Source organism: Homo sapiens, chromosome 4 (genome assembly GCF_000001405.40).
Source record: "Homo sapiens chromosome 4, GRCh38.p14 Primary Assembly".
Lineage (NCBI taxonomy): Eukaryota > Metazoa > Chordata > Mammalia > Primates > Hominidae > Homo > Homo sapiens.
Window position 1 is genome coordinate 105681878 of NC_000004.12, and position 26816 is coordinate 105708693.

Here is a 26816-nt window from a genome sequence, read left to right on the forward strand (position 1 = left end):
TAAGTAAGATAGCCTTTTCTTTCATGGTATAGGAAGAAGCCATCAGTGTGTGAACAAGTCATATATTTCCATCTGCAAAGACCTTTGTGAAATGGTATTTTTCTTCAAAACTTATCAGGAATGTGCATAACCAAGATGAATCAAAATTCAACATTTATTACGTACTATGTGCATGTATTACATTGGCAATGTAGGAAAAGTGAGCAATGTGAGAAAAAATATTGTATTAAGCACCAGGAGAGTTCACAATTTATTGGAAAAAGATATACCCTTAAATAATTGAAATGAGGTGATAAAAAAGGTAAAGATATAATATGAAGTATGATAAATCAATTAGGAAAATCCATTGATATGAGAAATCAATAATGAAAAAATAATTTTGAAAAAGATGAAATAATTGGGAGGGAGAGGGAGAGTCAGTTGAAATGGGGCTAGCACAGAAAATGAACACCCAGAATACGGGGAGGAAAATAGAAAACTATGTTGGGTCGTCCCTGCCGCCACATAAGGCACCTCATTCATCAGGATCAACTCTTGGGGCTTTGCTAGAAGATGAACTATTTCTTTTTCCTTAAATTCACAGATGCTTTCAATCTTCTGAAGATCTCATTGAGAACCAGTCATTCTAATCATTGTTTTCACACACTATGGAAATCATTAGAATAAAAATGTTGAAGATTGATTTAAAATGAAAGTTTCCAAGTTTTGTTATATAATATTTAGCATTTTAAGGTAAGAAACAATAGAAATTTGATTATGAAGACTTTTATTAAATTACAGTGTATTACAGATTATATCATAATAATAAGCCTTTCATCTTTAGGCTAATATGATACAAAAACCTACTTGGCCACATTACTTCTTGAGTTTCTTTTGGGCAGCTTTCTTCTTGACCATCTGTAATCGCTTCATAGCATTGAGCTGTGATTCTTGTGAAGTTGGGCCTTTAAGGGATGCTGAGGGAGAGCTGCTGGATTCTGAAGTAGTTTTGCTGGTAGTACTTCCACTAGGTCCTGATGTTCCACTATTTCCATTCCCACTTAGTTGGCTGCTGCTTCCTGGAACTAAACTACTTGGACTAGGAAGACCTACTTTGCTGACATTGTCACAACTAACTGAGCGACTAAGGCCAGTTTTACCCAAGGTTAGAGGTGGAGGTGGTTTTAAAGGTACAGTGGGCGTAGTGCTGTTATTGGAACCTATTTTGGAACCTATTCCACCTTTGGATGATGTTGCCAGACCAGTCAAACCCACAGGTTTCTGGTTAGCTGACGAAGTAGCAGGTTTCCCAGTATTGTTTTGTGTTGTTGAACTCAATTTTGCTGTTGAAGGACCAGCAGAGGAAGTTTTGGCTGCAAAAGCTGCCCATCCAGTTAAGCCACTAGTTACTGACGAGGAAACGCTGGCACTAGAAGAATTTCCTGAAATAACTGTGGATGTCTAAAAAAATAAAGTAAATAATTACATTAGAGCCAAGTTTAATCAGTACCTGTATAAACATCCCAAGTTATGAATTGGGAAATTTAAATCACACCACCAAATTAGGTTCTTATGAAGCTGATCTGAAAAACCACACAGAACAAAACTTATCTGTATCTAGTGGGTATTATCATTTGCAAAGCAGAAAATTTTTGATACCATATTCTTGTTCTAATGATTCCAAAAGAAAATATATGAAATTCCTTTTTGGGAATTGCTTTTAGATTCAATTCTAAGCTATATCTGAAAACCAGATTTAGTGCTTTAACATAGTTTTTACCCAACAAAGTATTATCGACCTTAGTTAAACATCTAATTCTTTTAGACTTTTCTCCAAATAACTAGGGATCATTTCAAAAATTTAATTCACTCTTAATAGCAAAAATGCCCATACCCAGAATATTCAGGAGAACATATCCAAGATGAAGAGATTCAGTCAATATTTATTTACTGAGTGACTGTGTGAGAGAAAGAAGACAGCTGTATAGATTCTAAACCCATTAAAAAAAAATGTCCTCCTAAATTTTGAGCAACAGTTACAGGAGTACAAAATATATGCAAAGTTAATTACTTGGAAGTGTACAATTTTTATGATGTGTTAAAAAGTTCTCATGATTTTAGTTTCACAATTTGCCCATGATTCCGGTTAAACTATCATGTAAGAGTCTCCTGCTCCTTTAATAAGGATTTTATCAATTGCCTCATTAGGCTGCACAGTGACATTTTGGGTAGGACTGATCTCATTCTCTGATATATTTCATAAGGGTATAACACTTCAACTTCTCTGATTAACTTTCCTGGCTAATCAGAAGCTCACAATGGTACCAATGCCACTATATAAATACATATTGCTCTTGTTCACACAAGAATATATTTTTTCACTTTCATATTAGGCACAAATGTACGTATTCAAATTAATTTTGAATTGAACTTCTTATTGACACCTTTTCTACCTTTATACTCTTAAGAAGATTCACAAAAGCATTACATTCACATATAGGTAAAAGATAAAATTTTACAAAATAACATCCTACTTAAAAAATGGTAGTTATTATACCTAAAATATATCCAGTTATAATTTAGAACTTTACTCTGAAATAGTTGATAAAACATTTTTAGCTCTTGAAATCAAGGTAGCCTTCAATATTGTCTGCATGCATACATTTTTAATCAATGTGAAAAGTAACAAAAATAGAGTTCTGAGATATTCGATTTATAAGAGAAGGAATCCAGATATTTGTCCACATACTCTGAAAATTGATAGGAAGTTTTCTTACAGTAACATATTAACTATCTTATGAAGTTATCCAGAGAAGAAAAACTACATAAACCATTTATTCCTAGAGGAATATATACCAGCAATGAGAGAAAAAGTTAGTCAAGAAGTAAACCTTTAATTTTCAGTTATGAAAGACCTAATTTTTTTTCCTTTTCTTGCTATTAAACATAAAACTGTCTGCCATATGGTTAAATGATCTTTCAAAAAACTTCACAAAAGAAAACCCACCTTTAGTAATTAAAAGACCAACACTTAGGAAGTACAAGCAAGAAAGCATGTTCTATGTGTCTGGCATTTCATTTTAATGGCTTGCTGTTGCTTAGTATTGCTTTTCAACAGGATGACAGATGGTTTATAATACTATCAGGACACATAGAAGTAATATAACACAAACAATGGAGACCAAGTGATTTCTTACTATTTCAGTGTAGAAAACAAATTTCTCAAGTTTTTAACTATAAATATTTTCTTGCCTATTTGCTAGATGGGCAAGTTAGAAAAGACATTTGCTTTTTATATGTGAATGGGAACAATTTTTTTATAGTATAAATTTATTCACTTTTATAAAAAGTGAATTTTTTATTAAAGAAACACAAAACCTCTTAATCAAAACAAATATGACAGCAGTCTTTAATTTGTTTGCCATAAAATGATTTCATGTTGAATTTTCTAAAAATAAACTTTAGTAGTAACAGATTAATCTAAAAATCTACTAAAAAGTGATTATATGCAGAATATAGCAACTCTAATTACTTTCAATAAACTGGTTATTCTTACTTCTATTCCAATTCACCAAGTTCCTATATGACAAATCAATAATGGATATGCCTTGGATAGCAAATCTTCCCTGGCAAATTAAAATGAAAAATAATCTCCAAATATAATTATCAATAAGTTTTTAAAAGTATTTCGTATTCATATTCTTTTTCATCACATCAAGGGTATGAAGCTTACTACTTACAGTCACTTAGATAAGGCAATAACTTTAGAGTTTTCTCAGGTCAATCTTTGAGAATTTGAGGCTATTTTTTTTTTAATATTTTTTCTTCCATATTTAGTGCTATGCTTAATATTGGAATGTGTACCTCAGTAAAAGTATTCTTTTTGTTATGAAATTAGATTAGAAAATTATTTTTTTCCATGATATAAAAAGGCCAAGATATTAAGAAATAATGTAGTATGATTTCAAGGATGCAAACTTAGGAATGAGAAAGGTGATACCCTCACTAGACAATGTGGTCCCTTGGTATAAGAGGTAGATAACATTGAAAGTTTATTATAAAGAAACAAAACAAGACAAAGCAAGAAAACTCCTTCAACAGCCAATAAGAAGGGAGAAAAAAAAATTACAAGGCCAATCTGCTCAAGTAGTGTGGGGAGCAAAATTGTTGCTACTGAGGGCAGAGGTATTTTGAATTTAAACCAGATTTCTTTTTCTTTTTTTGAGTTGCAGTTTCGCTCTTGTCACCCAGGCTGGAGTGCAATGGTGCTATCTCAGCTCACTGCAAACTTCGCCTCTGGGGTTCAAGCGATTCTCCTGCCTCAGCCTCCCAAGTAGCTGATCACAGGCACCGCCACTATGCCTGGGAATTACAGGTGCCCATCACCACCCCTGGCTAATTTTTGTATTTTTAGTAGAGATGGGGTTTCATCATGTTGGCCAGGCTGGTCTCAAACTCCTGACCTCAGGTAATCCACCCGCCTTGGCCTCCCAAAGTGCTGGGACTATAGGTGTGAGTCATGGCACCTCGCCTGAATTTAAACCAGATTTCTGATTGAAGACAAATATCTAACCAGATGAGAATGGTAAAGAATGTCATTTTGGAATGATCATAGACTGTTCGTATTTGTGATAAAAAGAAAAACAACAGAGTTAGAGATTAATTAATGATATAAATGTTCCCTTTCTACCTAATATAATAGTAGTAAAGTCTTAATTTCTAAAATATAGCCATTTAGTATATAAAGTTTCTCATTAAATTTTTTATCAAGCAACTATTTTTTAGTCAACTAAACTTTAAGATATAATCTTAGATAAAAATAGAATCTACTATACCTTGACTTCTGTTCTCTTAAACGCTAGAAAAGTTGTCTCTTGTTTCAGTTTAGTTTCTGGTTTCTTAACCAATGGATCTTTGACAGCTGGAGTTACAGAAACAACTGCAGGGGCTGGTTTCTGCGGTGGTTTCTGAGTTTTTTGAGCCTGCAAAAATCAGTGGATTAAATCAGATACAAAATCTTAACTGAATATACAGAAAGATAATAATCCCTCACAGGACTCATCACTGAAATGAAATACAGTTGAACATTTTAAAAAATAGTGTGATGATAATGAATATATATGCTCTTTGACAAATTATTATCATATTAATGGTCTTACAGATTGTATTAGTTTCTAAACAGTAAAGATAATATTAAGCTTTAGAAATAATACAGAAGAGGGTTAGTTAAATACCATTTTAACAAGATAAAATTGTTTTTTAAAGAGCAAAATCACAAACTATATGTAACCGTTAGCTTTACTCATGATGAAGTACATTTATTTCTCATTGGGGTTTGTCAAATACACAAGAGTTTTCTTCTTGGGGTCTAGGCATAAGTCGACTCCTCAGTTGCTGAGGGCAAATTAAAACACAGCTCAGATCATTTATATGGTTTTAAATATAGAACAGGGAGAAAAAAACTATTGATAAATGATTAAACTTTTTGAGGTTTTTCCACATTGCAAAACTAGGCACACTAAATCTTTAGAGAAAGTTAATAAATACAAATTTCTATGTTATGAAAGAATTTTCACCCACTATTATTTTATAAGCATCTTCAGTTTTATTTTGACCAATAACTGATTTTTTCCTTTATTTTATAACTAGGTACTTGACTAAATTTTCCTATAAACTCTAATCATTTTTGAGTTTATTTTTTAGTGTTTTCTAGGTAGATAATTATAACTGTTTATAAATGGTTATGTGCCATGTTTAAGAGTAATTTTCAGAGTCAAACACAGTTAGGATTAAAACCCAGCAACTGGCTGGGTGCAGTGGCTCACGCCTGTAATCCCAGCACTTTGGGAGGCTGAGGCGGGTGGTTCACTTGAGGTCAGGAGTTTGCGAACAGCCAGAACAGCCTGGCCCACATGGTGAAACCCCGTCTCTACTAAAAATACAGAAATTAGCTGGGCATGGTGGCGGGTGCCTGTAATTCCAGCTACTCAGGAGGTTGAGGCAGGAGAATTGCTTGAACCCATTAGGTGGAGGTTGCAGTGAGCCGAGATCGCACCACTGCCCTCCAGCCTGGGCAACAAGAGCAAAACTCCATCTCAAAAAAACAACAACAGAAAAAAAAACAGCAACTATTTTTCTAGATACATTACCTCAGGCAAAATATGTGAATCTCTAAAAGCCTCATTCTCTTCATCTGTAAAATGGTAATAGCATTTGTTTCAAAGGTGGGTTATGAGGATGAATTATGATTATGTAAGAGTTTAGCATAGTGTCTGGAAAATGTTGAGTGCTAACAAAAAGTTACTGTTTATTCATCATTATTATTTACAAAGGATAATCAAACTGAATCCAGAAAAATCCATGCATACTGAACGGGGAAAGATGCTTCCCGCCAGCCATTCCATAGTCTTTGATAATCTTCATAAGCCCATACAGTACTATACCAGGGAATTTATTAACAATTTGTCACCATTTCTGGAAGCCAGAATTTGGCCTATTTTGCTCTTGTTTGGGCCTTCTTGTGTAATCTTGGGCTACTGTTTGCCATACTATATAGTTTGGGTCCTTAAATCTCAATTCGTATCACTTTTTATACTACATACCTTCCACATCAAAGTACACCTACCTTCAACATCACTTATAAAGCAACAATTAGATCAAGAATATTAAGAATGTTCGAAGTAATTCACTGTTGATTACTTGATTACTGGTACTAGCAGGAAAGCAGAGCCATCTTATCCTTCATTGCAAAACCATGTTACGAGAATGCATCCCTCACAGTAAAACAGAAACATATGGCTCCAAAACCATGGCTTTCAATCTTAACACTGCCTTCCACCCACATCTAGCACTCCTGAGGTTAGACTCTGAGGACCCACCTAACTTGTATGTTTTAACAGATAAAGACTAATTATGATGAAGCCCCAGGAAGTACTTCTGCCTGTGAGATCATGTTTCAATCTTCTGCCTTCCCTGTTTTATCCAGCCATCTTAGAAACTGAGTAAGAAATACCCACAACCCTTTGTCCTTTACTGGTAATACTAGTTTAGGGAACTAGGATATAATTACTGATTCAGTTTTGTTCAACAAAGGTACTAAAATTTTCATTGGATGACTGCTTCAAACATTGCAAAATGTATAAAATTCTCCACTAAGGCACTAACTGCCAGAATGGCAGTACTAAAAACCCCACCTATTTCTAAATGCTGCAAAATAGGAGTGTGTTACTACCTTAGATTGAGAACCACTGCAATAAGTGATATGAGTCTCTCACCTGAAGCTGGGGAAAAACTCCACTACTGCGTAGAGAGAAAACTATAGAACTGAAGAATAACCTTGGACCCTGCCATACACGATCACAACATTCTTAACTAGGTCTTCCTACAATGATGTGTACCGCAGAACTTGCCCCAGTTTGAGGAATCTGTTTGAGGAGAAAGGGGATATCAGGTCCTATTTATAATATCTTTGAGATACCTTGGAACAATAACCAATGCACATATGAGAATCTCACTCAAAGCAATTATAGTTAGAATGACTGTATTTAGAATCCCCACTGTTCCAAAATTATCTCATTAAACCTTACATTTCCTGGATTCTGATCTTTAGGCTCACTTCAGATCATGTCTTTTGGTATTTCCCCACATTTGCTCTTGGTGTATTCTAGTCATGTTATAATATTAGCCATGACTCCCCATTTAGTACTTTGACTTCTGGACACACAGACCAGATTCACTGTTGATTTCTGGTACTAATCTGCATTTAGCCTGGCATGGTGGCTCATGCCTATAATCCCAGCACTTTGGGAGGCCGAGGCAGGAGGATCACTTGAGGTCAGGAGTTCGAGACCAGCCCTGGCAATGTAGCAAGACTCCATCTCTACAAAAAATAAAAAAAAAATTAGCTAGGCCTGGTGGCACATGCCTGTAGTCCCAGCTACTTGGGAGGCTGAGGTGGGAGGATTGCTTGAGCCTGGGAGGTCAAGGCTGCAGTGAGCCATGGTCATGCTACTGCACTCCAGCCTAGAAAACAGAGTGAGACCCTGTCTCAGAAAAAGAAAAAAATTACATTTGCTTCATTTTATTTAACTTAAGAACAACAGAATGTAGAATGTGTCCAGTCTTGAGCTCTGCTTAAGTGCTATGCCAATGAATACATGCTCTTACTGATAAATTAGATATTATTTGCAAAGCAGATAAAAGAATAAACAGTATCCCAGATGAAGAGAAGAAGCTGAGAAGCAGAAAATATGGGAACATGAAAGTTCTCCACATATTCAGGGAATGACACACTTAGTCTGTGTCAGAGTGGCCAGAGTGTATGAATGTGTATGCTGAAGCAGTGAGAGAGAGGGCTGTAAGGTAGAGTCGGGTCAAAAAGAGAAGGTCCATATATGCATCCTAATGAGTATAATCTCATTATATAAGTAATTGAGAGCCACTGGGCATATATAAGTAGGTAAATATTTTAGAAGAATTCTAATGATAGTAAGCAAAGTGGATTGATAGGAGGCAAGGAGATTTATTAAGTGGCTATTGCAATAGACAAGTAATGGATTTGTGGAACAGGGTAATAAAAGAGAAATGAATAGATTTCAGAGACATATAAGAGGTAGAATTAGCAAATCTGGTAAACAATGGGATATGGAATTAAAAGAGGCATCAAAGATGTTTTCTAATTCAGGCAATTGCAGAAAAAAAAAACTGGATAATAGAACAACTTTCACTTTTAAATATATTGACCTTAAAGTATCTATAGACTATCTAGTTAGCTATAGAAGCTCACCCAGGAAGAGGGTTAGAACCATAAACATAGATTTGACATAAATCAGAAAAAATGGAGGAGAAAAAACTTGGGGGAAGAACAGTGCTTACTTTAGATATTAAAGGAGCTAAAGTGATAATAATAATGAAACAGTTGAGTACATACTAAAGAAAGATAGATTATTGTCACAATTTGTTTCTTTTGACAATTTCCAATTCTTAGTGGTTTCTTATCAATGCTCTGGAATGCATTGCTCATCTGTAATAATTTCACTTGAGATCCTGGAGGGCTAGTTTAAATAATAAATTAAATAAAAACCAAACTGAGCAGAACAGATTGTAACTTGTCATAGAAATTTCCTGTTACAAGTAAGAAATATACACACTATTGATATACACACTTTTCATTTACTACTTTTTATTTCATAGGAATAAATAAAAACACTTCCTATTTCTGATTTAACTGATTAAAAAGTAAAATGGGTATCCCGAGTTTTTACTTTTAACTAAGTACTTCTGACCTTTAAAAGATATATTGGTTAGACAAATTTATATAGAAATTCATTTGATTAACAGACATGAGAACTCTGCAATTGAGAATCACTAATTTAAGGCAGGGGAAGAGAGATGGAAGTGGGAGGGAGAGGTGGAGAATAAGACATTATGGCAATTTCTTGTTTTCTTTAAAAGAAAAATTATGAAATTCATTTATCATTTATCTATTTTATAAGTGAATAAAAGTTAGAAAACTATCCAATATAACAAATGAAAAGATATTTCACTATGATATTAAAGGCAGGTATGTTAGTCAACAGTAAAAAGAGAAAGTACATAGGAAGAATGAGGTAATGGTCACTTGAGGACAATGAGAAGGAAAGACTAAGCAACAGAGAAATGCAGCTGGAAAGACAGATATGCACATATAAATATCGCCTCTGTACACATCTTATCCATGCGGTGGTTTAAGCTCACTCAGAAATTTTCTATATTTCCTTACCAGATCTCAACAAAGAGTGGGGCTTTGTATCTCACCACTTCTCAGTGCTGCATGGTATTTTAAAATGTTTGTCAATACATTGACAGACTAGTAAGGAATATTCATAATTTGTGTGTCACCAATCTTGTTTTATCTATATTAGAATTAGATAAAACTAAAAAGAGAAAAATGCACATAACATGGTCTGGTCTTTAGCAATAGAAATATTAATCACATGTACATACTATACATATAAATAAATAATCAGCTTATATTATTTATTTTTTCAATATCTTAAATATTCAAATCTTTGTTTTGAAAGCACATACCAACAAAAACATTGACAGACTGTTTAAAATAAAGAAAAATATGATTCCTACCATTCTTTTCATTTGTCTGGTACATCGGGCACAATACCACACCAGGCGAGGGTCATTCGCTTCCTTGTCTGTCACCTGGGGTTTATGACAATCTCGGTGGTAGAGATTATGGCACTCCTGACATTCTACTAATTGATTGCCAGATGCCACCATCATTTGCCTAAGAAAACATACCATTAAACATTACACTACTTTTTTAAATGCCATAATTTAAAGTTATTTCAGGGGCCAGGTGTGCTGGCTCATGCCTGTAATCCCAGCACTTTGGGAGGCCAAGGCAGGCGGATCATTTGAAGTCAGGAGTTCAAGACCAGCCTGGCTGACACGGTGAAACCCTGTCTCTACTAAAAATACAAAAATCAGCTGGGCATGGTGGTACACACCTATAATCCCCACTACTCAGGAGGCTGAGGCAGGAGAATCGCTTGAACCCAGGAGATGGACGCTGCAGTGAGCCAAGATCATGCCACTGCACTCCAGCCTTGGTGACAGAGTAAGACTCTGTCTCAAAAAAAAAAAAAAAAAAAAAAAGTTATTTCCAGGTTGTTCTGGTAAAGTTTGGTATATTAAAAAGAAAAAAAATCCCAGAAACCCAAAGAGCAAATAACAAACCCCAACACTTGGCATGCACAAAAGCATAAGCTTTTAAAGCTTATGGTCAACCATTAATAAATATATAGAATGCCTTAATTAAATTTGGCTATTTTCTCGTCATTTCTCGTCATAATTTTTGCCTTTCTCTCAGAAGGTAGTAGACTCTGATTAGTCTTCCAACAGCCTCATAACATTTTGTATCTCCATTAAATTCCCTTATATTAGTTAGCTGTATGTTGTTGTTGTTCTTCATTAATATGAGTCACCTAAAGGTGAGTACTGGACCTAATTATCCACAGTCCTTAGCACATTACTGTGCACACATAGGGTGCTCAATAAATGTCTGATCAGATTAATAGAATGAAGCCATGTGTGTATAAAAAAGTATAAATTTCAACAGCACAAAAAGCAATCACCATAGCCTTAGATTATCAAAGGCATATATATCATAATATAATAATCACTTTCCCTCTGGAACCCAAAAATGCAGAAAATGTTACAACATAACAGATTTAAAAGCCATAGTTGGGAAAGACAAAATAGTTGACAATTTTCAATATGCTAAATTGTTATATGGGCAGTTACCTACTTATCTCCACCCCAGTTCCAAATAGTAAAAACAAAATAGAAAATGCACAACAATTTTTCTGATTTTGGGGGTTGAGGAGTGGAAAGGGTCATGTGTTCTTTATAAAGTAACAAAAGAATCTGTGGCAAGGTACAACTTACCTACAAACAACGCAGGCCAATCCCATCTCCATGGCAAAATCATCAGCACTGGTCTCCTCAAAACTGGAAAGGTCAGCCATAGGTAAATCCTTGCTACTTTGGACAGTAATGGGAGATGACTGTGTTTCTGGTTTCTCCAATCTAGGTTTCTTTGGAATATCAACTCCTTCAGTGATGTCTGATTTCATCTATAAAAAGCAGGCATCAGAAAATGATAAAGTAATGTGGTAGAATAAACTTTAAGTCACTGAAAGACGAGTGAGAAGGACAATTGGCAATGAACAAGTCCATTTTACAGATATATTCACATAGTTAGGGACAGATGTGCACATTAAAGATCTGTAGAAGAATTGCAATGAATTTATTAGTATATTAAATGAAACCAGCAAGATAGAAATAAATAAATCAGAACAGTTTAACAAATATTTGTATTTCTCTTTGTACTCTTCTATCTACTAAAGAATTATGGAAGATCGATGGATTTACTTAGACTAGTATCTACCATACAGACTTAACACATATTTGCTTCAAAGCAAATTCGGATTCCCTTCTTTAAGATATAAATATTATCAATATACCCATTAGATTTGGCAAAAATCAAAAAGTCTGATAAGACATGGAATTTGGAATTCTTATACTTTGTTGATGACAGTGTAAATTTAGTACATCTACTTTTGATAGAAATTTGGCAATGCCTAGTAATGTTGAAGATGTCATATCCTATTATATTCACTTATAGGTATACATCCTATAGAAACTATTAACATGACATATGTATAAAGTAGCTCACTCAAACTCCATTGTAATAGAAACAAAGGAGAAATATCTAATTGTGCATCAGTAGGGGAATGATAAACTGGTTAATCATTCCCCTATGATAAATCAGTAGGGGAATGATAAACTGGTATTATGTAGTAGCTAAAAGAAATCTAGATCTACATGCATTAACAAAGATACATTTCAAAAGCACATAGTTGAGTGGAGAAAAAGTTACCAAAGGATATACACACACACAGTATGATAACATTTACATAATTTTTTTTTTAAGACAGAGTCTTGCAGTGTTGCCCAGGCTGGAGTGCAGTGGCACAATCTCTGCTCACTGTAACCTCCGCCTGCTGGGTTAGAGTGATTCTCACGTCTCAGCCTCCTGAGGTGCTGGAACTACAGGTGTGCGCCACCACACCTGGCTAATTTTTGTATTTTTAGTAGAGAGGGGGTTTTGCCATGTTGGCCAGGGTGGCCAACTCCCGACCTGCTGACCTCAAGTGATCCTCCTGCCTTGACCTCCCAAAGTGCTGGGATTACAGGCATGAGCCACCACACCCAGCTTCACTTATGTAGATCTAAAAACAGAGAAATAATCTAATGTAGTTTATGAATAGCCACTATTTAGCAAAAGTATGAAAACATACGGGATAATATACTCCATCTTGAGGGCAAGGGTTACTGAAGATATCTTTCAAATGTATTTTTTTCTAACTACTAAAATCTTAATTACTATATGTAGAAATCATCTAAAAATAGACAATCCAAGAATCATCTTTGGCACTGTTCAGGTGCATACCACTCTATAAAGTTTATGTTTAGTCATTTACATCTATACTCTTTCCCATCTTTTCTTTCTTGCTTTCCTTTTTTTTTGAGACAGCGCCTCACTCTGTCACCCAGGCTGGAGTGCAGTGGCACGATCACCGCTCACTGCAATCTCTGCCTCCTGGGCTCAAGCAATCCTCCCACCCCCCACCCGCCCACAAACAGCTGGGACTACAGGTGCATGCCACCACACCCAGATGATTTTTGTATTTTTTGTAGAGATGGGGTTTCATCATGTTGCCCAGGCTGATCTTGAACTCCTGAGCTCAAGCAGTCTACCTGCCTCGGCCTCCCAAAGTGTATCTATCTTTTCTTCTTAACAACTGTTCCATCTAGGATCTCTGAGGCATAGATTAAAGTTTACACTCAAAGTTACTATACTCCCTAGGACTCAAATATTTATTGACAATAACTTTTAACCACTTAACTTTAAAATTTGTAAATTTTACTCATTTTTTGAAAAGTCAAAATCTATAGCTATCAATATATATTCACTGAGTGTTGATTATTATATACCTATACCCATTATTATATAAAAGAAATAGGCATAAAACATTGTTTCTTTCTGCTTATGGAACAACTAATTTACTTTCTTTTAACAAGATTAAAATAAAATCTTACTTTATCAGCAGGTCTCTTTTCAGCTTCCTTCTTTACCTTTTCAGTTGTGAGGACCTTGCCATTATTATTACCAGAAGGAAGACTGGATGATATTTTGGGCTCTTGCTTAATGGAAATGTTTTTTGTGCTTGAAATTTTGGGTGGCTCCACATCCTAAAAGATGAAAAAAGGTACCAGTAATTAAATATTTAGACTGATCATCATAAAAAAAGATCATTAATATAAACAATTTTCAGTTAAAAATTAAGACATTTCATTATAACCAATGTAATATTCCTTTCTTAAATAGTTAAATAGCTTTATTGAGAAATAATTGATATACAAACTGTACCTTTTTTATTTTTATTTTTTGGGACAGAGTCTCACTCTGTTGCCCAGGCTGGAGTGGAGTGCTGTGGCACAGTCTTGGCTCACTGCAACCTCTGCCTCCTGGGTTCAAGTGATTCTCCTGCCTCAGCCTCCCGTGTATCTGGGACTACAGGTGCACCACCACACCCGGCTGATTTTTGTAGTTTCAGTACAGATGGCGTTTCACCATGTTGGCCACACTGGTCTCAAACTCCGGCCTCAAATGATCCGCCCACCTCGGCCTCCCAAAGTGCTGGGATTAAAGACGTGTACCACCACACCTGGCCCAAACTACACCTACTTAAAGTGTAACATTTGATAAGTTTTGACATATGTATACGTCTGTGACACCATCACTACAATCAACATAATGAACATATCCATCATCTCTCCAAATTTCCTTGTGGCCCTTTGTAATTACTCTCTTACAGGTATACACCCTATAGAAAAATATGTCTCCCATCATCAAGCAAGAAAAATATGTCTCCCATCATCAGGCATATAGAAAAATATGTCTCCCATCATCATCATCACTTATCTGTTTTCTGTAACAATACATTAGTTTGCATTTCCTAGAAATTTATATAAATGGAATCATATTCTTTTTTGGTCTGGCTTCTTCTACTCAGCATATTTATTTTGAGATTCATCCATGTTGTTTAGTGTATCAATAGTTAATTCCTTTTTATTGCTGAATAATATTCCATTGAATGAATAGACTACAATTTATTTATCAATTTACCTATTGATGGATATTTGGGTTGTCTGCAGTTTGGGACTATTACAAATAAAGCTGTTATGAATATTCATGTACAAGTATTTATATATATATCTATGTTTTTATTTCTCTAGAAAAAATAGGAGTGGGTTATATGGTAAGTATTAATATATGCTTAATTACTTGAGAAACTGCCAAACTGTGGCAGTACCATTTTATATTTCCACCAAGCATATATGAGAGAGTTCCAGTTCCTTCCCATCCTCACCAATGCTTTGTATGGCTACTCTTTTTAAATTGTAGATGTTCTAATAGGTATGTAGTGATATCTCATTTAGATTTAATTTAAATTTCCCCAGTAACTAATGATGTTGAGCAGCTTTTCAAGTGTTCATATGGCATACATATATCTTCTTTGGTAAACTATTTGATAAAATATTTTGCCCATTTAAAAGAAATGAATCTGTTTGTTTTATTACTAAGTTAAAAGAGTTCTTCATAGATTTTGGGCACAAGGCCTTTATCAGATATATGATTTGCAAATATTTTCTCTCAGTCTGTGGCTTGTCTTTTCATTCTGTTTAAATTCAATTCCTTATTCATGTATTATAGCTTTGCTGATATAGATAACTTGTTATTTGTTGTCATTAATAGTATGCATAAACTTTGGCAGCTCTTGGAATTCCCCCTCCCCCAAAAGGAGGGCACTTTCCCATCATTCTAAACAAAACTAAGGCAGCTGAGTGCAGTCTATTTTACTGTGATAATATGTAAAAGTACAAAAGTATAAATGGGAATAATACACAACAATTTCAGAATAGTGGTTACCTCTGAGGGGGGAAGAGAAGAAAAAGGAAGGAGGAATGGGTCCTCAGATCTAGTGGTGGCAGGGCTTGATATATTATTATGCTGATTGTTTAGACAACGGGTTAGCAAACTGAGGCCTATAAATAGTTTTTTATAAACAGTTATATTAGAACACAGCCACACCCATTCATTTTATAATGTATGGCTGCGTTCACATTACCATGGCAGAATTAAATAGTTGCAATGGAGACCATCTGGCACACAAAATCTAGAATTCTTACTATTTGGCTCTTTATAAAGTCTGTTGATCACTGGTGTAGACTTAGTAAAGTGTTGAAGAAAATGTTAATAATGCAGATTAAACTTAAAAATGTGTGGTGGGCAGGTGTGGTGACACATGCCTGTAATCCCAGCACTTTGGGAAGCCAAGGTGGGCAGATCACTTGAGTCCAGGAGTTTGAGACCAACCTGGGCAACATGGCAAAATGCTGTCTCCACAAAATATAAAAAAATTAGCCAAGCATGGTGGCATGCACCTGTAGTCTTAGCTACTCAAGAGGCTGAAGTGGGAGGATTGCTTGAACCTGGGAGGGAGAGAGCGCAGTGAGCCAAGATTGTGCCACTGCACTCCAGCCTGGGTAACACAGTGAGACCCTGTCTCAACAAAAAACAACAGAAAAACAAAAACGTGTATTGTGTGTAACTAAAAAATTGAAGACAAAGTCATGCAGTATTAAACTATTACCTAATTCAGCAAAAAAGTTGTTCTAGTTGTTGACGGATGAGTTAAGTTTTAACTCCATTATTTCACATTTGCCTTCCTCATTAATGTAAATGAATATCAACCAATATTCATGTTAGAATACACTTGGAGACCTGGTAATGTTAGTAAGCATTACCTCCAGGTGATTCTTATCCATGCTAAAGTTTGAGAAACACTGGCATAAATCACTCTTCTTACACAAATCTAGTGATGAAAATATTCAGCTGAAGGCTAAAATTAAATGGACCTGGGCTTTAAAAACCTATAACAAAGTAGTTTCTGAAAACTGATCAAGAGAAATGAACTCTAGCTAGAAACCTAAGGGCAGCGTGCTTTTTAATCACAACAAATTTTTCATGTTCTTTAAGAGATAAACTTCCATTTTAGAACCCCATTAAAACAATTTTTTTTCTTTAGTAATAATAGGTTTCCCTATCTGGACAATACCAACACCCACAGTGGAATGAATTTGGTAGTATGTTTTGTAGAGCCATATTGATTTGGTCGATCTGAACTCACTGAACCTACTGCAATGAGAATGGATAGAAGAAATGAAGTCACAATGGTTCTGCTATTCAAAATACAATAAAAAGGCTTCGGAGTACTAGACCTAGTATTGAAAGAAGGCTGGGGACAAAATGCCAGTGTTTACTTGGGCTCTGAGCCTGGGACTAGATCCTCTCTTGAGCTTCAGATTCTGGTTAGACTTGAGCTAGTCATGTTCTATTTTCTCCTTCTCAGTTTGGGATCTAAGTCCACAGACCTGAGTGATTTGGAGTTTGAGGGTCAGAGCTTAGAAGGATTTGATAGAATGTCTTAGTAGGTATTAGGGAATATAATAAGAGTTGTCATTCAGTGACAGCCTATTATGTACCAGGCAGGTACTACACTAGGTAACTCATTTACTGGATCTCCTTCAATTTTTACAACTCTGCAAAGTAGTTCTTATTATCCCCATTTTACCAATAAACAGACTAAGTGAAATGAAGTTTCTATGTACCTCAGTTTCCTTATGTAAAATGAAGAAAACAGTTATCTATCTTAAAGGATCATTATCATAATTAAAATTAATTATTCACATAAACTACTCAGAAAAGTGCCTGGGACATCAAGATACGTTGTCTATTATCATCACACAATTATAAGATTTAAGTGGGATTTAAAACAGGTGTGTTTGGTATCAAAACATATATTCTTTTCACATAAAGCTGCCATTGGCTGCTTTGTTATTATCAAGACAGGAGCTACACAGTTCTCAGAGTTCATCCATACCTCCTTTTCTCTTAAATTATCCTACCCATATTCAATTTATTTTGTTGAAAGATCTGTCCTTTTACTTGATTTTTTTTAATCCTTAAAATATTAGGCAATAATTAGAAGTAAGTTGTGGTTACATTCAGCAGCTTAAAAAAAATTCTGATCACAAAGAATCGGAAATTAAAGTAAGTCGTAAACAAGTGAATTCATATACACATAAAGTAGTAGAACAGAATATCCTGCACCCCCAGCTGATTTTTCTATGTGGTGTAACAGTTCTCTGAAAACTTGAAGGGAAAAAAGAAAATAAAGAATATAATTTCTTCATGCTACAAGGAAAGATTATTTCGGCAGAGATTGTTTTGAGATGGTCTATATGTTATCAATGTAGTACTACAGGCCTTACAAAACTCTCTCCAAGCTTTTTATTCATTCAAGTACCTTTTGAGATGGACGGTAACTGGAATCAATGCCCCGAGCCAAAGATTCATCAAGCAGTGCTTTTAGCTTTTCAGCAGAATCTTTACTCTTTGAATGCAAGAAACCTAGTGCTTTCAAAAAAATGGGATCAAGTTCCAAGTTCACAGTAGCAGCCATTGCAAACGCCTGAAGGAAAAAAAGAGAAAGTAATCTAGAAGACAATGCACAATTATCTATGTTAAAGTTTTACTTTTCTGTTTTTTAATTTGTAATAGATAATACTGTACACATGATATAAAATTTAAAATCACCAAAAAGTTATTACAAATAAAAGTAAATTTCCTTCTTATTCCTGACAGGCATTATCTAGTTCCTTCCCCCTGAAACAACTAGCAGTATCAGTTTTCTGTGTATCCATATCGATGGTAACGTTTTAAATCCAGGTAGGCCTCTCCCTGCCACAGAACTCCTTCCTAACTGTGTTTTAAAAGATACACTTCGCAGTTTCAGTACATAGAACTTGATGGGTTTACGTCAAGTTTACTCTGTATCAAAATTTCTTCTCTCAAACCTTATTTCCATAACACAAGGGAAGACTTAGTGTGCAGGTGTTTGTGTGTGTAAGGGCTATCGTAAGAGGGCAATGGTGAAAAGGTATATTAAGTGATTAGCTATCATGGTCACTGCTGCCACTTTTACCTCAACTCTTTTTTTTTTTTTTTCTAAACTCACCTCTTCAGTTCTCTGCCCCAACCCTAAATGTCTCAGAAAACATATTAATGATAACCTTATTTGATCACATTTAGATTGTGGTATCTCATGCATTAACCTATTTTTAAAAGTAAGGTCTCTGAGGGATAATATCATATCTACTTAAAACACACACACACACACACACACACACACACACACACACAGAGCCTATGATGCTTTGTGTCCTAAAGAGCTTAAAAAATAGCCAAGATGGATAAAGATATACATCAAAGGCTTATGAAATTCCACAATACTAAAAAGTTTTGTTTTTAGTTAATACCAATGCTATCATGTGGTTCTGCTTCTGGTTGTCACTTTTTCAAAGACCTCTCCAGGCAAGAAATTATCAAAATAAAAATGTATTCTTTGTGTTCAATCCTTTGATCAATATACTATGGCTTGAAATCTTCTATCCTTGAGGTTAATATTGTATTAATGCAGCACACTTGCATTGCTATAGTTAGGGAACTGTCAGCAATTCCACAGTTATCTCCCATTTTCAGGGGTTTATAACACCATTAAAACTTGCTGTAGGTTGAATCCTAGCATATGAAAGCACATCTGAAAATGGATTTTGTTGTCCCCTCCCCTCCAGCTTCACTCCTCATCCTTCTCCACATCTGACAAGAAACACACATACACATCCCTAGGCTTTTTTTTTTTTTTTTTTAAGTTCCCAGGAAGGTATTAGTTATCTACCTGATAACTACAAAATTACTGTCGAATTCTGTACTGTACTAAAATATCATCTGAATCACCCATGGAAAGGAATCCAAAGGCCAGTACTATAATGAAAAAGTAACCTTATCTCAAACTGTTGTATTTCTAAGAATTTAACAAAATTGAAAAGCAGCCTCTGTCACTTCTTAAAATTATATTATTATATACATCACCTCTACATAATGATAGGTACAGAAAAATTATTTTAAAATTTACTCATGGGGCTGGTCACCATGTACGTTCTGAGGAAAAAATAGCTCCTTAATAAAATTTCCAAGATTAAAAGGGTAAACCTGCCATTCCCCCAGCATATACAAGGGTAACAGCCTAATCTCTTTTTTTTCTTTAAATTCCACTCCTGTGACAGTTTACTAATCTTTCTACTGATTTTATTTCATATAGGTAAAGGAAATAGCAGTTTACTTATCCAGATTGTTATAAAACAATTTATTTTATTGGGTGCTGACCAAAGGGTTGACACCTAAAAGAACCCTTGTAATATATTAGAAAAACCATTTCTTGAAATTTCTATGCTGAAAAATGAAAGCCAAGTATTTATTGCTATGTATTTCTACAATCACAGGTAAGAGGTTTACATTACAGATTAGGTGACAAGAGTCAGCACCTAGATTACAAGACTGCGGAAGTCATCAACACCAACATTCCAGTTGGAACCTTGGAGTCAGTTCTTTTTATGCAATCTTGCCATTATAAAACTTAACAGGCTTTGTACCCCTCCCCTAAATTACTAACATGGCCCTTTGACCCAGTGGTCCCCATGGTGGAATACAGAGAAAAAAATATTAACTTTTTAATTTATTTCTATTTCTTTTTTTTTTTTTTTTTTTTTTTGAGACAGAGTCTCGCTCTGTCGCCCAGGCTGGAGTGCAGTGGCATGATCTCGGCTCATGGCAAGCTCCGCCTCACGGGTTCATGCCATTCTCCTGCCTCAGCCTCCCGAGTAGCTGGGACTACAGGCGCCCGCCACCACACCCGGCTAATTTTTTGTATTTTTTAGTACAGACGGGGTTTCATCATGTTAGCCAGGATGGTCTCGATCTCCTGACCTTGTGATCCACCCGCCTCGGCCTCCCAAAGTGCTGGGATTACAGGCGTGAGCCACCGCGCCCAGCCAATTTATTTCTATTTCTATTTATTTTTTAAAAATCTATTCATATACAGAGTGATAATAGTGTGTTATATAATTGATCTTTAACCTCAAGGAGCTTTATCTTCAGCCAGTGAAATCTGAAACTTGCCACAACTATTGTCCTCTTTTATTACAATCAATTCTCCTTTCTGACTACAATCTTCCATTACTCTATCTCTTCCACTGCCTTAATCCAGGGACCTCTTCAAAGTGCCAAGTCAATCTTTCTTCTGTATTTATTCATTTCTCTATTCCCATTCTACTTGTTCTTTGTTACAGAAGCCTCCAATTTCTTGTCCCTTCTGCTTTCTCCTTATTGGCACCCTCTTGCCCTGACTTTTGTTTCCTCACCAAACAGAAAACAGTAGTTGAACCTAAAATAAAACACTTATGGTTATGTGGTTTATATTTTATATTTTAGTTTTCTATCTTACCTTTACTCCCCCTTTTCTGTTGCCTTCTCTAATCTCTGTTACTTTTCCTTCCTTACCGGCAAATATCCATATAGTGAAAGAAGTTTACTTTCTACAGCAGTCATAAAGAGGTCAGCAACTTGGTGTAACTGTGTTGATCTACACATACAAAAATATTTTCCTGGAGTTACACCAAATCATGTTACTTCTATACAATTCCTTTCCTGTATATTCATTCCTAAACCCATGGCCAAAACAGACTGCAAAAGAGCCATATCATTCTTACTATGGATTAGAGTTCTAGAAAACAAAGTCCTGTGTGTGTGTATGAAAGAAAAATGTATATATGAAAGATATTTAATATATTAAATGTAGGTTTCATTTAAAAAGTAGATGTTGCTTTCAAAAAGGAGAATGTGAGAAAATTAATATTTACCACTTTAAAGCTTTCGCTGACCTAGGGAAGTGGTAGTAGTAGTATTGATAGGAGTGAATTCTTAGGTGATGCTGGGAATTAGCTGTGTCAAATGCATATAGCACAAAAATCGCCATTACTGAACAATGATCTTTTTTCTGTATCTCTTATTATCCTTGATTTATTGCAGTATGCCGTTTACTTCCTATCCAGCTCACATTCTGTGGTCCACCCTTTCAATACCTCTTTCAGTACTCTAGGCACCCGAAAGCCCTGTAGTTTCCCTACTTTATAGACATCCACCCTGCTAGCCATTCTCTCTCTGCCTGCACCCAAACTCTAAGTGCAACTGGGAGGAATATACATACATTCTATCTTCAGAATCACCATTCTCAGCTTGGCGTTCAGTACAACTTGGCAATTCTCTCATCCTTCTCTGGTCAACTCACTTCCCCACTTTCTGCAAAGATCAGTTATACTTCCTCCATTTTCTTTTAAAATTGCTTCTGTGTTTCAGTAGATGGCCTCACCTACTTCACAAAGAGAGGCTGTCAGAGAGGAATTAAGTCGACTTCCTTCCAGCACATCTACAAACTTACCTGCACTCATCCTTTCCTCTTTCCCATCTGATAAAAAAGGAGAAGGTAGCTCTCTATGTAGTGTCACCTGGATCTGGATCCTATCTCTTCTTGTCCCCTCTTGAACCTTGGCCTATGGATTATTTCCCATATCTTCTTTTTTTTTTTTTCAGCCTTTCTACTGGCATCTTTTCATTGACATTAAATATATTCAAACATCTTCTATCTTTTCTCTTTTATAGCAAAACGTTCTCAGAAATCATATGCTTTTGTACTCTTTTTCTTCATTCCTTCTATTTACACAGCAATTCTTGCAATTCAGCCTTTGTCCCACTATTCCATGAAAATGCTCTCATGAGTCATTCGCCGCCTCAGTCAGGTAAACCTAATACATACGATTGTCCCTCCTACTTCTTTGTCAGTCATCTTTGTAGGTTCCTCCTATCCAATTAAAAATGAGTTCCTCAGTGCTAGGTTCTGGGTCTCTTCTTGACTTGTTCTACATCTTCTTCCAAAAATGTGTTCTCTGAGTCAGCAGCATAGGTATCACGTCAGAACTTAGAAATACAAACTCTTGGTCTCCATTCCTAGGCCTACTGAAGAAAAAACTCTGGGAGTAGGGTCTAGAAATCTGTGTTAAGCCTTCCAGGCAATTCTATCTACTCTAAAGTTTGGGAATTATTGCCCTAGACAATTTGATCTATATAGTCTTTTGCCAGTGATTACTAATACATCTCTGCAGTCCATGTGTCTCTCCCAAGATCCAACTGCCAGCTTGACATGGATATATCATTGGTGCCTCCTATGCAACGTGTCTCCAACAGAGCCACTCATACACTATTCCCTTTTCTCCTAACCAGTTCTTCCTCTAGTAATCCCTTTTTCAAATGATATTTACCCTATTGCCCAAGCCAGTAACCCAGAAGCAGCTTTAACTCTTCCCACTTCCTTAATTCCCACCCCCAATTCAATAACCAAACCTCTTAAACATACCTCAAATCTATCCACCCTTTTCAATCCTTACTACTACCACCCTAGACCAACCTAGCATCATCTATTATCTGGCCCACTGCAAAAGCTTAATCAGTCTCCCACAATCACTCTTGTCATCCCTTTAAACCTTTTCATATCACTCACTTGCTTAAAATCCTTTTATCACTTCTCACAATCCAAAGGTTCAAGAATAAGATTCTTAACAAGGTCTCCAATTCTCTACATCAGGGGTCCCTAACCTTCAGGCCATGCAGCAGGAGGTGAGCAGTAGGCAAGCGAGGGAAGCTTCATTTGTATTTACAGCCACTCCCATCACTTGCATTACTACCTGAGCTCTGCCTCCTGTCACATCACTGGTGGAATTAGATTCTCATAGGAATGCGAATCCTATGTGAACTGTGCATGTGTGTGATCTACGTTGTGTGCTCCTCATGAGAATCTAATGCCTGATGATCTGTCACAGTATACCCCATCATCCCCAGATGAAACCGTCTAGCTGCAGGAAAGCAAGCTCAAGGTTCCCACTGATTCTACATTATGGTGAGTTGTCCAATTATTTTATTATATATTACCATGTAGTAATAAGAGAAATAAAGTGCACAATAAATGTAATGCACTTGAATCATCCTGAAACCATGTCTTCAATGAAACTGGTCCCTGGTGCCAAAAAGGTTGTGGACCATTGCTCTACATGATTAATAATACATATAAAGCAGTTACAACAGTACCTGACACATAGTTGACACTCATTAAATGTTACCTAGTATCTTAGGCCATTCTCACTCTCTCTGTTATAGCTATCTGACTTATTTCAAGTCCTCCAATATACTCTTTCTTACCTTAGCACTTCAGTAGAAAGTGTGCCACCCCCACCTCCATCTTAAGTCACCTCTCAAGTTTCAGTTTTTCCTGCACATTCCCTCAACAAAACTAGAAGTTTCACTGTTACATAGCCCAAAAACATTCTGTACTTATTTGTAATATTAATCACACTGTTAATTATGTAAATAATCTTTCTTTCTCATTAGAATGTAAGTTCCATGAAGGCAGGCAGTGGATTGGTCTTGCCTACTGTTGTAACCCCTGTCTGGCAGAGTTCCTGGAAAACAGCAAATAACTGTAAATGTTGGCCAAGTAAATACTTGTTATCTACTTCCAATTTCATAAAACTTTCTCTTCCCTTGAGTTCTGTTATACTCAACTTTTCTGTTTTTCCTCTTCTATCTCTGACTACTCTTTCTTTGGCTTATCTTCTTTGTTGCTTTTGGTATTGTCCAAGTATTTGTCCTTGGCTATCTTCTTAGTTCTGCTAGCAGTTTCTTCTTGGTAATCTTATACACATCAGGTTTTCAACTATCATCTCTGGGTAGATGATTTAATATGTTTTACCCCAACTTCAATCTCTTTTTTTTTTTTTTTTTTTTTGAGACATGGTCTTGCTCTGTCACCCAGGTTGGAGTGCACTGAGATCATGGCTCACTGCAGCCTCGAACTCCTGGGCTCAAGTGATCCTCCTGCCTCAGCCTCCCAAGCAGCTAGGACTACAGGCATGCACCACCGTAACCATGCCCAGGTAATTTTGTTGTTTTTTAAGTAGAGCCAGGGTCTTGCTATGTTGCTCTTATCTGGTCTCAAACAATCCTCCTGTTGTGGCTTCCCAAAGTGCTGGGATTACAAGTGCGAGCCAAATCTCTTAAATTTGAATCCCATGTTTCCAAATGCTTAGTGTATGTGTCTATGTGATTCCTTAATGGCATCTCAAATTCAGTTACAACTAAAATTGAGATTCTGATTATCTTCCCGAAAAGTTCCTTGTCCTGCTCTTACTTTCAATAAATGACACAACTTTCTTTTAGTCAGGTTTGAGACCAAAGTCTTTCCTTCACTGAGTCTTTCCCTACTCCTTATATTCAAATAATCAGAATTCCTGTGGATTCTGACGGCAATATTTTTCACACTTGTCCTACTTTTCACTTCCACTGCTACTACTGAAATTCAGGTTTTATTAGCTTACTTGAACTATGGCAATAACCTCGTTATTTTCCTTGACTTCAACATTGTTGCCATATGAATTTTCCTGAAACCCAGTTTTCTTCTTTTTCATTAAAATAAAAAAAAAAATTCTTGCTGAGAAGTTAGGGCTTTCTACCACCTTCGAAATAAAGACCAAATTTCTTGGCCTAGCATTTAAGAAGATTCAGTAACTGGCACAAAAATTATCATTCATCATCCCCAGATCTGCCTTATAGCTAGCTGACCCTGCCACTCTTATTTTTTTTGTCCAGGAAGCTCTTTACCTATTTTTATATATCTACATCCTATCAAGACCCTATTCAAATACTTCTCATGAAGATTTGACTGACAGCTGCTGTGCCCCTCTCCATTCCAAACCCTATTAATAGTCTCTCCATTCAAGGATATCTCATAGTGCTTTTTCATGGTATTGCAACTTTCTCCCTTGAAGCATTTTTTTTTTTTTTTGGCACAAGTGTTATGTCCCCTACAAAACTCTGAGTACTTTAAGGGCAGAGTCTATATTTATCTTTTTGCCTATCTCTTTGCCACTTTGCAAAGTACAACAAAATAATGGCTATAGAATTACTGGAATTAAGTGATCAAAGTATAGTGGTCTTATCTCTCCTTCTACACAATTGTAGCCATTTCCAAGGTCCCTTCAGCAAAAATCACAAAAGTAACTCACCCCTGCCCCCACAAAAAAAACTCCAAACATCAAAAAAGCAAAAGCAAAGCAATCACCTCTTTCACGACTGGGGACTTGTAGTACAATGTTCCTATCTGTAAAATTCTCACAATCTTTCGCCTGTCTTGCTTAATTCATTAATCCCACTGGTCTGTAAACTTGATGACAGCAGGAACTTGTTTTGTTCACTGTTATTTCCCTAGTGCTTGAAACTTAATAAGGGCTCAAAAATATTTATCGAATGAACGAACTAGGTTTTTTGCGTAAATGTCACCTTATAAGGCTTCTGTGATCTCTCCAGTCTAAATTGGGCATTCATATATAAATATAAGTATGTGCTTTCTCCTAGATCCATTTTTCACCCTACCTGGCAATCTCAAAAGAAGTCCAAAGTTGATCATATGCACGTGCCCCAGATGAAGGAAACAGAAACTGTTCACATAGAGTGCAGTATTATCGTTGCCATTTCATAATGGCTCTAAAAAACTTTGTTCTTCATGACTTCGCAAGCTCTTGCAACCCCTTCCAATAAACATTATTTTAAAGATGCTGCCTTTTTCATTCCTCCACTGAGTTCTTGGTTCTGGATAACACTGATACCTTAGGGACACCTGGAATCGCAGGAGAAAAGGCTCCGATTCCAAACCAATCAAGTGGCTGAAAGCTGACAGCAAACACTTAGAAAAGGAATGTCAATCCTTTGATCAAAGCATCACACATCGAAGTCCTAGAATGGGGGATGGTCCTTGACAGGGGAGCCAAAAGATGAGAGACAATGAGGGAGCTACGTAGAGAAGTCACTAAAACCCTCCGACAAAGTCCGAGGCAGGATTCCAAGTCCCTTGTCCCTAGACCTAGAAATATGCTCGGTCCGCATGTCCCGGCCCGCAACTCCCTCGGAGGAAGCACAGTCCTCACTGAAAGGGGAGAGCAGTCAGTCTAGGGCACGCAACCGCCCGTAAATTATGATTCCCCTTGAGGAGCGAGGAAACTAATACCCCACGTAGCTACTCTCCCACCTCGCTCCTGGCGCGGGGGTCTCGAGCCTCCAGGAGGCCAGGAGCAGAGTCGCTCAGCATAACTCACCGTTCCGCCCCGCCCTGCCGATCCGTCTGTTCCCGGTGGTCCCTTCGGAAACGGTT

General features: G+C 36.3%; 2 protein-coding genes and 2 long non-coding RNA genes across 12 annotated transcripts in view; 3 read left to right on the top strand and 1 right to left on the bottom strand.

Annotated features, from left to right (window-relative positions):
* The window catches only part of ARHGEF38 (Rho guanine nucleotide exchange factor 38), a 129947-nt gene extending 129258 nt beyond the window's left edge, over positions 1–689 (top strand). For 2 of the 3 annotated variants that reach the window (XR_938749.4, XR_938750.4), the window contains exon 16: positions 584–689. The gene's annotated coding sequence lies outside the window, so the exon portion shown is untranslated. Of the gene's footprint in view, positions 1–32; positions 302–583 lie in introns of all 3 variants that reach the window. The other variant, XR_007057934.1, reaches the window with a different exon arrangement.
* Positions 690–749: 60 nt separating this feature from the next.
* INTS12 (integrator complex subunit 12) lies at positions 750–26812 on the bottom strand. 7 transcript variants are annotated; one of them, XM_011532145.3, is made up of 9 exons: positions 26761–26812; positions 21771–21932; positions 21009–21146; positions 17973–18137; positions 13639–13791; positions 11422–11609; positions 10099–10258; positions 4815–4961; positions 750–1440 (listed from the first exon to the last, which is right to left on the bottom strand). In XM_011532145.3, exons 4-9 carry the CDS (start codon positions 18126–18128, stop codon positions 856–858), a joined length of 1389 nt encoding a protein of 462 aa, XP_011530447.1. In that variant the 5' UTR covers positions 18129–18137; positions 21009–21146; positions 21771–21932; positions 26761–26812; the 3' UTR covers positions 750–855. The 7 variants fall into 7 exon arrangements, 6 of the variants coding, with proteins under 6 accessions (XP_011530447.1, XP_047271947.1, NP_065128.2 ...); XM_047415991.1 differs by having other exon boundaries at positions 26042–26812; NM_020395.4 differs by lacking the exon at positions 21009–21146.
* LOC124900748 (uncharacterized) lies at positions 18070–24097 on the top strand. The gene is made up of 3 exons (XR_007058215.1): positions 18070–18394; positions 23437–23513; positions 24002–24097. It is a non-coding gene; the product is annotated as an uncharacterized LOC124900748 (long non-coding RNA).
* LOC124900747 (uncharacterized) lies at positions 24505–26219 on the top strand. Its single transcript, XR_007058214.1, has 2 exons — positions 24505–24546; positions 26024–26219. It is a non-coding gene; the product is annotated as an uncharacterized LOC124900747 (long non-coding RNA).